This window comes from Homo sapiens, chromosome 15 (genome assembly GCF_000001405.40).
Source record: "Homo sapiens chromosome 15, GRCh38.p14 Primary Assembly".
In the NCBI taxonomy this organism is placed as follows: Eukaryota; Metazoa; Chordata; class Mammalia; order Primates; family Hominidae; genus Homo; species Homo sapiens.
In genome coordinates, this window is record NC_000015.10 from 71,654,100 (window position 1) to 71,666,203 (window position 12,104).

Sequence of the window (12,104 nt, forward strand, 5' to 3'; positions counted from 1 at the left end):
AGCCATAGACAATAACTAAACAAATGGGAGTGTTTGTGTTCTAATAAATCTTTATTTATAAAAACAGGTTGTGAGCCAGATTTGGCCTACTAGCTACAGTTTGCTGACCCCTGATTTAGACTGTAAATAGGAACCTTGTTTGTTTTACCTTCATGTCTCCGCTGCCTACCACTGAATTGGCACGTAGTTGAAGTTGGCTCAGGAAACATTTACTGAACTATATCGAAGGTCAGTTTTACAGGCATAAGTGTTAGAAGATTTTAATGAGAATAACAACTGGAAAAAGATCCACCCAGAATAGATTAACTGTTTCCTTATGTTGAACATTTAGGATGTTTCCAATTTTTTATTAACAATACTGTGATGAGCCCTTCATACAGAAACTGTTGGCCTGATTTCTTATTTCCTGGCATAAATTCCTAGAAGAAGAATTTACTGGATCAAACGGTCTATATTGCTAAATTGCTTTCCAGGAAGGTGGTATTGATCTACATGCCTAACAGTAATAACAGGAAGATATTTATCATATACAAAGGATTTCTTTCAACAGAATGTCATGAATAAACGTTTTGGCATCCATATGCATTTCCACGAATTAGCTCACCGTAAATATAAGTAAATTGGTGTCAGCTACTAATCATTTTAATATTCTCCCATACTGTTCTACCAGCATGATTATTAAGGCACGCTGTTTTACCTGTGGGGGTCATCTAGCCAAACAGTTGAGGTTACCCTATCTCATGTGTTTACTGAGCACACACAGACACATCTGCTTCCCATTAGGGAATCAGGACCTCCACTATCTGAATGCCTGGCACCAGCCTACCCTGCTGTGAAGGACAGAGGCCTCCTCCCTGTGAAATTCACCTCCAAATATGTCATCCAGATTGCTCATTTCCCTCAGGAAATTTCATTCAGGTTAATTTTGGCACACAATTGGGGGTAATTCTTGAGCAATTTCTCCTGTGATGGCTTGCGATGTGTAAAATTTTCCTACAACGTGTTGCAGAAATCACTGGAAAAAATACAAAGGACATCTGATGGTTATCCACTGGTCTTTGTAACAGCAAGAAATATCTATTCTGAACAGCAGTACACGATGAGCAAGAAACATAAAATAAAGGTAGATCAGAGAGTAGATGTTCTTTCTGGCCTTTTTCGACAGGTACCGTTTGAGCAGTGAGAATGTAGAAGCTGTATGAGGTGTCTTGACTTTATGGTGAACCTTGGCCGATTTTGTTTTGTTTTGTTTTTTGCACTTCAAAGTTTTCTGAATTTCACCAAATGAAGAAGAAAATATTTCTGACTAAGAAGTAGTAGAAAGTGTTACAGAAGTACGGGTGGGTCCGGGTGGTTGTATGATGATGAGATTTACTTAAAAGTGAATAGACTTCAGACAAAATAAAATACATAAAGACAAAGATGACAAAACCCAGCATTTTCTGAGAAGCCACCATATTGCAGAATTCTGCTAATTACATTCTATGTTTGCCTCATTTGATTTTCCCAACAGTCCTAAGGGGTAGCTGCTCCATCCCCATCCAGGCAGAAAAAAAATCCCAGGGCTCAGAACAGCTCATCAAAATGTCCAAAGATACAGCACTCGTCAGCAGCAGAGACAGCACAAGAACGCATATTCTCCTGCCCACCCAAAGCAGTGGTGCCTCGGAAAGAGTCTAGACATAGGTCAGCACTAAGTCGTCCCTATCAGCGACCAATTGATCAGCCTCCTGATACACAAACCAGAATTCAAGCCAGATTCGTTTCTGAACACTGTCCTTGGGAAGAAGATCTGGATGGTGGTGGAAATGTTTTCAGCACCTACCTCAAAGAGAAGTGACCAATCCAGCATCACACAACAAGCCAGGGACTGGGCCAGGACTGCACCCCAGGTTTTCTGGTTTGCAGCCCAACATTCTTTCCATTATTCCAAACTGTTTTTCCTGATAAATGACATCAGCTAGTGATTATACCTAATGATTATACAGCTGTGTTTTGGAGGAGACTATCGGCTGCTTTAAAGAAAGTCATAGCACGTAATCTATACATGTGATAATAGTTCATGAAACATCAAAAAAAGTGCATCTAAAAGATAACAAATACAAACAAGGCCTATTCTTAAGTTAATAGTAGTATACTGCTGTCAATGGCATACATGGTTTTGACAAAGTGCTTTGGTTATGTAAGATATTATCGTTAGGGAAAGCTGGGTGAAAGACCACCGAAACTCTCTGCGCTCATTTTAAACTTCTTATGAGTCTTACACTATTTCAAAATAAAACATTATAACAATAAGAAAGTAATGCAACAGGAAGATGGGCTAGAATATGTATTCACACACTGTGTATAAAGTATAATGTTAAAAGAGCCAGTGTAAGAGAGATACATAATGGGGTTGGTCCCTCTTAATCCTGCAAGAGGAGAAAGCCAGAGTCACTTCTAGGCCAGGCCCTCTCCAGGCTTCATGGTAACTATGCTTTGAACTTGTTCCTCTGCACCTAGGTCACTGTCACGATCTACTCCTTCAACAAAGCTAGAACCCTCAACACGACCTCCGATCCTTTGACCTCCGACTTTTACCTAATGGTTAAAAACATGGACTTTGATTTGGGGCCTTGCTTTAAATCCAAGCTCTATCTATTATTAGCATTTTAGCCTTGGGCAAATTAACCTGTCTTCTAAGTCTTAGTTTCCTATAAATTTCAGCAATCTCACAGATGGCTTTTTAGGATTAAATGGAAAAACATATATGTTTCCGAGGACCTAGAAGATAGTAAAGACTGTAAATGTTAGACATGATAATGTTGAGGAAGATGGCAAGGAGGAGGATGAGGACAGTCAGAAAGGCCTGTTCATTTTGCATCCTAAGCATCTCTCAAATCCCTTCACGCCATCCCCAGTCCCCTCATTCAGGCTGGGATATTGCAACATCCTCCAGACTTTATGTACCCAATTGTTAATTATCGACTTTCTAAAGGAGATTTGATCCTGTCCAGCACGACATAGAGCATGCAAGCGTTCCTCATGGCCTGATAGCTTGTGATTCTCTATGTGTATGTCTGATTGCTCCTGTTAGACTCAGATTCCCAAAGTCAGGACCTGTGTCTGATTCAGCTTGGGATTTTCCAGGCAGCCTTTTCAGTGTAGTCACTCAACAATATCAGTGATGAAATGCATCTTTACGTGTTTCGATCTTGTCATGGCAGGTCCTTCATGTCATTCAGATCCTAGTCCAGAGGTCATTCCCCAGCCATGCCCTCCTAGACATCTAGTCCAATTCTTCCCTCATTACATCATCTGATCTTCACAACAGCCCTGTGCAGGAGAAGGGACAGTTGTCATGTGTGTAATTTGCCCTTGGCCTCAGCTAAATATTAAGGTCTTGAATATGTGTTGTCTGCCTAGTTCTCATTCTGGAGTTGTCCCTCTTGCTTTGTGAAGTAAAGGAGAGATATTTGGTAACTCCATGGGAACTCAGTCTCTTAGAGGCCTGGGTAGCCACTAGAACACTGAAGAGTGCTCCTAGTATGTTCTAAGGAAGCTATTGATCATGGCTCCCGGTAGACAGGCTGTCACCTTTAGTTCTTGGCATCCTTGTGCAGCCGCATGCTTCACTGAAACCAACCTCCAGGCTACTTCGACATCTACCAGGAAAAACTCTTGCAGCCTTTCCTTCCCATGTCTAGATTGATCCAGAGCAACCATGCTCTGCAGGAAATCTGGTGGGGGTGTGTCCATCAAACTGTGCAGAGCATTTTCATATAATGTCTGATTCACAAGATCAAATAACATTTTGTCTGTGTCTGTGGTTATCTGAAGCTATCCATGCTAGTGTAATTTCCTTGTGATAGTTCCATTCTAACTGGGCTGGGGCTGAGGATTAATGTGATTAATGTGACGTCTGTCCCATCTTTGGCGACTCTCATTCATTCTTGAAATATCTCTGACACCCTAGTTACAGGAGAGGGACTCACTGGACGGTTCATTGTCTCCACTCTAGGTAAGGCCCGCTCCACACTGCAGTCATTGTTACCACCGAAAAGCAAGTCTGAGCATGGCTCTCCCCTTCTCCAGACATCTGGGGGTTGCTGATGCCATAGGATGAAAATCTAATTCTTCAATCTGGCAAACAAGATTCTTGACAAGTTCCGCTGAACTCTCCAGCCTCGTATTATCCCTCCCAGCAGGCTTGCACTTCAGCCGTGTCATTCTGTGTTCTTTCCTACCTGTGTACACATTGTTCCCTTTAACAGAAGGACCCCTATGAGAATGAGCTCAGTCTGGACAAGTCGAGTCCAGGGGTAGCAGCAACAGACTGGAGGTTGGGAAGGGAGGGAGTGTGAGATGTCACTAGACAGGGCAGGCAATGGGTGTTGACCACCTCTCCTGTCTACCTTCCCCCTTGATGACAGTCAGAGGCATCTCCTTGATTCAGTTGGAATCTTGCCTTGATAACATGGGTTCTACTATTCAAAACCCCTGTTGATGGTGACATTTTTGTTGTTGTTGTTTCAAAGCAAGGGAGAATTCAAGGGGGGTGGGGCTATGGAAATCACACATGGAAAACATATTCCTTATTTTTTCTGCTAAAATGTGCGTGGGGCAGATTGAGAAGGATTTGAGGGAGGAGAAATACATAGCAAACATGGCATTTGGAAAGGCTAATTGGATGTGGATGAGCATATTGAGATGATGTTCTATTACTGTCAGAGATAATGTTTTACAGAGATGCTATTTGTGAAGAGAGACCAGTCATTATTGATGGGTCAATGTGCGCTTGGGAATATGGAAGCAATAATGCCCAAGGGCAGTGCCTGCAGAAAGGTTTCAATCAGGCATGCAACTAGAGGGGAAGGAATGGGCACCTTTTGATTTGACTCTGCCCACAGGATTTGACCTATAGGACCTACCTGAAGAGACCCAGGGTTGCATAACAAAATCAAAAGTGGACTTTGACTGGTTTGCTGCTCACTTTGTCCTAGAGATGTGGTCTGATTATTGCACTTAGAATTCAAGAAAGAGGACAAGCCTGTGATTTGGAGAATATGTGTCTCAAGAATTAGAATACCATTCTGATTTCAAGTATCTTTCCATATCCTCATGACCCAGTGAATAATCCTGTACTCACAATATTTCATTGTCCAAACCATAATCTACCCACTTCCATCTGCTCATGGAAAAGTGACAGAATTCTTTGTTCAGAACATGAGTCCCAATTTTAGATTCAGGAAACATGATCCTGAGCCCTGTGAGGTCAGGAGTGGAAAGCTTCAGAAGTAGAAAAAGATTTTGTGAAGATCATTCCATTTTGTTCCAAAGTTTAATTTTTGGTTTTTTTAAAATAGGGCCTGCTCTGTTGCCCAGGCTGGAGTACAATGATGCAATCACTGTAGCCTCATACTCCTGACCTCAAGTGATCCTCCCACCTTAGCCTCCCTGAGTAGCTGGGACTACAGGTGTGTGCCCTCGCACCTGGTTAATTTTTTACTTTTTGTAAAGACTGGATCACACTGAGTTGCCCAGGCTGGTCTCAAAGTCCTAAGCTCAAGCAGTCCTCCTGCCTCAGCCTCCTAAAGTGCTGAGACTACAGACATGAGCCACCATGTCTGGCCCAAAGTTTAATTTGTGTGTGCGACATAAAATGGTCCCAACGGAAACATGAATGAGGAGGGAGAGATAAAGCAAAAAGATCTTAGAATGAGTAATGGGAAGATTCCTTTTGTCGGGGGAGGGAATTCAGGAAAGTCAGAATTCCTTTATACACTGATGAGACCAGCTCTACAGACAGCACTCTGTGGTTTAGCAGGTTATGATCTCGTTTGTTGATGATTCTGGCTCTTGCTTACCTTCATCCTTCTGCTCTGGGAAAAGTGCTCTGGGGTAACCAAGGAAAAGTCCTGCTTCTGAGGCCTCTAGAGCCACAGTTACCAGTTAGAGGTTCAGCTCCCAAACCATTTAATTTCCTAAGAAACTGGTCCAGGGAACACTACTTTTGGAGGTACTTTGCTAAGAGTAGCATCTATAAGAAGACATGAGGGCAAACTTCAGTTTCAGATGTGGCACTTGTCATGATTCCAGAGAGATTCTTTATATAAAAATCCCAGCACAGACCATCCTCTCCCCTTCCAGAGTCCAACGGGGATTTTCAGAACAACTTCACTGTACAACCTGTTTAAGTAAATTTCTAGCACCCTACATCTTCCCTAGTCTTTTTCCCAGTGTTATTTTTCTCCTGATCATTTACCACCACCAAACAAACTCTGTTTTATTTACTTGTCTGGTTTACCGTCTGTGGCTCCCACCCCACTCCTAGAATATACATTTCGTAAATAGCTAGAAAAGAAATTTCTTGCCCAGGGATCTTCTCCCTTCCTTCCTCTGCATGCTCCTGATACATACTATGAGTCTTTTGTTTTCTGTCTTTTTGCAGAGCATTGGCTGTGATGACTACTTAGGCTCCGACAAAGTCGTGGACAAATGTGGGGTGTGTGGAGGAGACAACACGGGCTGTCAGGTTGTGTCGGGCGTGTTTAAGCATGCCCTCACCAGCCTGGGCTACCACCGCGTCGTGGAGATTCCCGAGGGAGCCACGAAAATCAACATCACGGAGATGTACAAGAGCAACAACTATTTGGGTAAGCTTGGTCTTTTTCCAGAGAAAACCGTCTGTCCCTGCCAGATGATGTATTCCTTCAGAACTGTGAGATAGACACAGCAGTGTCCGAGAGTCCCGGGGCATGCAGGCAGTGCCCCTGGGGAATGTCAAAGTACCACCTGGCCTGCGCCTTGAAATGAGAAGCTTGAGTGGAGAACGTTAAAAAAAAAGTCCTTCTTGCAGATAAATACTTAATATCTATACATTTAAACCAGCCTTTGCTTTTCCCAAGAGAAACATGGTTATAAAGTGGATAACAGCCCAAATTATTGCTCTGAGATGGGAGAAGCTCTTTGCAAAGCGCGGAGACCAGCCAGTGTTTGTTCTGTTGGGATTTGAGGTGGCCAGGGACAATTGATCCTATCTATACCTTCACTCCCTGGAGGTCTAAAGCGAAGCCATTTTTCTCTTCTTTCTGCCTCATCTGCCTGGGGCAGCAGACCTATACATAGTAGTGTGCATGTCTTCTGAAAAGCTGTGGAATCCTCCAGCAATCATTTTGGGCAACATCATCAATACTGAGAGGCCAATTTTAACCCATTTTTCTACAAAAGATCTTTGTTGATACTTCCTTCTGGACTTTGGAGCTATTTGCATTCCATCTGATAAAAACCACAAGCCAATCGAACACATTATTTATTTATTTATTTTTTTTTTTTGAGACAGAATCTTGCCCTGTCACCCAGGTTCGAGTGCAGTGGTGCGATTTTTGCTCACTGCAGCCTCCGCCTCCCAGGTTCAAATGATTCTCCTGCCTCAGCCTCCCGAGTAGCTGGGACCACAGGCGTGCACCAACACACCCAGTTAATTTTTGTATTTTTAGTAGAGATGGGGTTTCACCATGTTGGCCAAGCTGGTCTTGAACTCCTGGCCTCAAGTGGTCTGCCCACCTCGACCTCCCAAAGTGCTGAGATTACAGGCATGAGCCACCACGCCTGGCCTTGAACAAATTACTTTTTATGAATTTCTAATAGATGTAAGCATGTTTAAATCAGTTAACAATATAAGGGAGCCATTTGTTTAATGAATAGCTATATTCATTTTTATCTTTTAATTATTTATTGAACAGGAACTTACCTAAAACAAACTATGTGTCAGGCACTATTCTTAATGTGTTGCAAGCATTCAATCTTTGAATTCTCTCAACAGGGAAAAGAAGCTATTCCCATCCCCACTTTACATGTAAGAAAGCAGGCACAGAGAGATTATGTACCTTGCCAAGCTCACCATACCATAACGAGGTGGAGCTGGGGTTCAGACCAGGCAGTCTAGCTCCAGGTGTAGTAGCCTGTCAAGAGATGATACCCATGGGCAGTCTCAGAACCTAAGTTCCTCTGGTGTGCCACTGGCCGTGCAGCAGTCAATGGCTGCAGCACTTGAAAGACTATTAAGTCTGCAACTTTCAAATATCAGGATCACCCACAAGTTAACTCCAGACTCGGGAACTCCATATTCTACAGCTCTTCCATCCCCATCTAGTCAAATGCAGCCAAAACTAAGTGGTTTTACGGGGGGGGAGGAGGAAGGGATGGCAGATGGGACTCAGAGACAAACCCAATCAAAGAAAAACTGTTCAATTTGCTTTGACAAAACCCAGGAGCCACCAGAGTGTCAGAAAACCTAGTTTCCCAGTGAGTGCTTTGTATATTCTTTTTAATACTGAAAAATAGTGTTTGTGTGTTTCCTCCTTTCTTTTGTACTGCTATGAGATCACATCTCCATAAACATCCTGCCTCCTAGAATGGGAAATGTTCTTCTGGGGATTATTTGAATTGTGATTGTGTTCAGATGTACCGGCAAACAATGCCACTTTTTATTAGCTTTGTGTTGCTTTTAGTACATTTTCCCTGGCTATAGTTAGTTGTATTCAGTAAGCAGTTTTCAAGCTGTGCCCCCTGAATAAAAAATAGACATTCTGGGTGAATATCTACTGGATGTCTGAATGGAGGAAGCTCTCGGAGGCTTGTTGTTTTCATCTGGAGTATGGGAATAAGAATCTTCACCTTATAAGTAGTCATGCGATTCAATAGGATACAGATATTTCAGACTCGGCAGAGCCCCTGACACCTATTAGGCAGTTGACAAATGTTCATTGCCTTTCTTTTGTCTCAGAGAGATTGTCAGTTTTGATTCCATCAAAATTGTGGAATAAACATTTCCTCTTTCCTTAAAAAAGATGAAGGGAAGGCAGAGGGAAAATGGAGTCAGTGAGGGGCGGGCAGGGAGGTTCATGTCTGTAAGCCCAGCGCTGTGGGAGGCCAAGGCAGGAGGACTGCTTGAAGTCAAGAGTTCACGACCAGCCTGCGCAACATCAAGTGAGACCCCATCTCTACAAAAAAATTTAAAAATCAGCCAGATGCGGTGACACATGCCTATAGTCTTAGCTACTTGGGAGGCTTAGGCATGAGGATCACTTGGGCCCAAGAGGTCAGGGCTGCAGTGAGTTGTAATCGTGCCACTGCACTCCAGCCTGGGCAATAAAGCAAGACACTATATCAAAAAAAAAAGAAAAAGAAAAAAGTCAATGGAGAGGTGATTCAAAAAGTCAAGTTCAACTTCCTATGCCCAAAGATCAGTGGGGTGCACATGAAATCGGTAGCGTCCATGAAAATATTACATAAGGTCCCGTGTGTGAAGGAGAGAGAGCAGAAACAAAAGAGCAGGCTCTAATGAAAGCAGATTCCAGAGATGACGAACAGAGATTCCTTCTAGAGCACTTACGTCACCTGGGGTGCTTTGTGTATTCTCTTTTTAAAAAATTGATCTATAATTCACATGCCATAAAATTCATCCTTTTGAAGTGTACGTTGGTTACGGCCCTTTTCTCTTCACAGGTGTTCTCTTTACCAAACCCACTATTCCTGCTCTGTGAAGTCTGTATATTTTAAAAGTAAATATACATGAGATTGCTTGAGATCATGTAGAAACCACTACCAGGTGTATCTAGCTATTTTGAACTCTTCGACGGCTATTTTTTACATTGTACATTGTCAAACACTGAAACCTTTTTCAAAGAGATATGTGGTAGGTTTCTCCATAATTCTCTAGGTAACAATGAGGGTTCTGGTTTTCTTACCTTGTGAGTTCTGGCTATGAAAACTGTATTTTCTGTAAAATTTGACTTGATACACAAAATTTACTCAGCTATTTGCATAAGTTTGATCTGCAGAATAAGCAATATAAAGGAAATGAATACTTCACATTTGTATCATTGCTTTCAAGATTCCAGAACTTTTTTTTTTTTCCGAGACAGAGTCTCACTCTGTCGCCCAGGCTGGAGTGCAGTGGCGCCGTCTCAGCTCACTGCAAGCTCTACCTCCCGGGTTCACGCCATTCTCCTGCCTCAGCCTCCCGAGTAGCTGGGACTACAGGCGCTCACCACCATACCCGGCTAATTTTTTGTATTTTTAGTAGAGATGGGGTTTCACCGTGTTAGCCAGGATGGTCTCGATCTCCTGACCTCGTGATCCGCCCGCCTCAGCCTCCCAAAGTGCTGGGATTACAGGCATGAGCCACCATGCCCAGCCAAAGATTCCAGAACTTTTACAACTTTATTTTTTTTTAGTTTCCTGTTGTTTCCAGAATTACCTTTAGTTATTTGTCATGCAAATAAAACTTTCCCTGTGAAATATTTGGTATTTTTTTAAATAACTGATTCCCCAGTAACAATAGAAAATAGATTTCTATGAAAAAGGCAGACTTGTATTTATTAATGCTGAAGCTGATGATTTAATCACCTCATTTAATCTTATTTTTTACTTTTATTTTAGCTTCAGGTGTACATGTGCAGGTTTTTATATAGGTAAAATCACGTCACTGGGGTTTTTTGTACAGATTGTGTCACCCAGGTACTAAGCCTAGTATCCAATAGTTATTTTTTCTGATCCTTTCCCTCCTCCCACCCTCAAGTAGGCCCTAGTGTCTGTTGTTTCTCTGTGTGTGTCCATGTCTTCCATCATTTAGCTCCCACTTGTAAGTGATAGCATGTGGTATTTGGTTTTCTGTTCCTGCGTGGTTTTCTAAGTATAATGATCTCCAGCTTCACCCATGTTCCTGCAAAGGACATTGTCTTATTCTTTTTATGGCTGCATACTATTCCATGGTGTATATGTACCACATTTTCTTTCTCTCATCTGTCATTGTTGGGCATTTAGGTTGATTCCATGTCTTTGCTATAATGAATAGTGCTGCAGTGAACATATGCATGCATGTGTCTTTATGGTAGGATGATTTACATTCCTTTGGGTATATACCCAGTAAGGGATTGCTGGGTCGAATGGTAGTTCTGTTTTTAGCTCTTGGAGGAATCACCACACTGCTTTCCACCATAGTTGGAAAATATTTACATTTCCAGCAACAGTGTATAAGTGTTTCCTTTTCTCCATAACCTCGCCAGCATCTGTTCTTTTTTGACTTTTTATTAATAGCCATTCTGACTGGTGTAAGATGGTATCTCATTGTGGTTTTGATTTGCATTTCTCTAATGATTAGTGATATTGAGCTTTTTTGCATATGCTTGTTGGCCATACATACGTCATCTTTTGAAAAGTATGTCTTCTGTTCATGTCTTTTGCCCACTTTTTAATGGGGTTGTTTTTTTTTCCGTAAACTTGTGAAAGTTCCTTATAGATGCTGGATATGAGACCTTTGTCTGATGTATAGTTTGCAAATATTTTCTCCCATTCTGTAGGGTATCTGTTTACTCTGTTGACAGTTTCTTTTGCTGTGCAGATGCTCTTAAGTTTAATTACATCCCATCTGTCAATTTTAGCTTTTGTTTCAATTGCTTTTAGCATCTTCATCATGAAATCCTTGCTAGTTCCTGTGTCCAGAATGGTGTTACCTAGGTTGTCCTCTAGGGTTTTATAGTTTTGGGTTTTACATTTAAGTCTTTAATCTATCTTGAGTTGATTTTTATATATGGTGTAAGCAAGGGGTCCAGTTTCAATCTTCTCCATATGGCTAGCCAGTTCTCCCAGGACCACTTATTGAATAGGGAGTCCTTTCCCAATTGCTTGTTTTTGTCAGCTTTGTCGAAGATCAGATAGTGGTAGGTGTGTGGCCTTATTTCTGGGCCTTATTTCTCTATTCTGTTTCACTGGTCTATGTGTCTGTTTTTGTACCAGTACCACTCTGTTTTGATTACCGTAGCCCTGTAGTATAGTTTAAAGTCAGGTAACGTGATGCTTCCAGCCTTGTTCTTTTTGCTTAGGATTGCCTTGGCCTTTGGGGCTCTTTTTTTGATCCATATGCATTTTAAAATAGTTTTTTCTAGTTCTGTGAAGAATTTCATTGGTAGTTTGGTAGGAATAACATTGAATCTGTAAATTGCTTTGGGCAGTATAGCCATTTTAATGATATTGGTTCTTCCTATCCATGAGCATGGAATGTTTTTCCATTTGTTTATGTCATCTCTGATTTCCTTGAGTGGTGTTTTGAATTAAAATTT

The 12,104-nt window shown here is 41.8% G+C and overlaps 1 protein-coding gene across 10 annotated transcripts in view, besides 1 other annotated feature; it reads left to right on the forward strand.

Annotated features, from left to right (window-relative positions):
* Positions 1–12,104, forward strand: part of THSD4 (thrombospondin type 1 domain containing 4) — a 686,490-nt gene that overhangs the window by 557,206 nt on the left and 117,180 nt on the right. For all 10 annotated transcript variants that reach the window (NM_001394532.1, NM_024817.3, XM_047433080.1 and 7 more), the window contains one exon: positions 6,431–6,635. In NM_001394532.1, the coding sequence (NP_001381461.1) occupies positions 6,431–6,635 (205 nt within the window). The remainder of the gene's footprint in view (positions 1–6,430; positions 6,636–12,104) is intronic.
* Positions 1,442–2,641: an enhancer, noted in NCBI's record as "BRD4-independent group 4 enhancer chr15:71947880-71949079 (GRCh37/hg19 assembly coordinates)". NCBI's record gives its function as "activates an origin of replication core promoter dependent on BRD2, P300/CBP, MED14 and CDK7 cofactors, and independent of BRD4, by STARR-seq in HCT116 cells {active_cell/tissue: HCT116}" and the evidence as "EXISTENCE:reporter gene assay evidence [ECO:0000049][PMID:35650434]".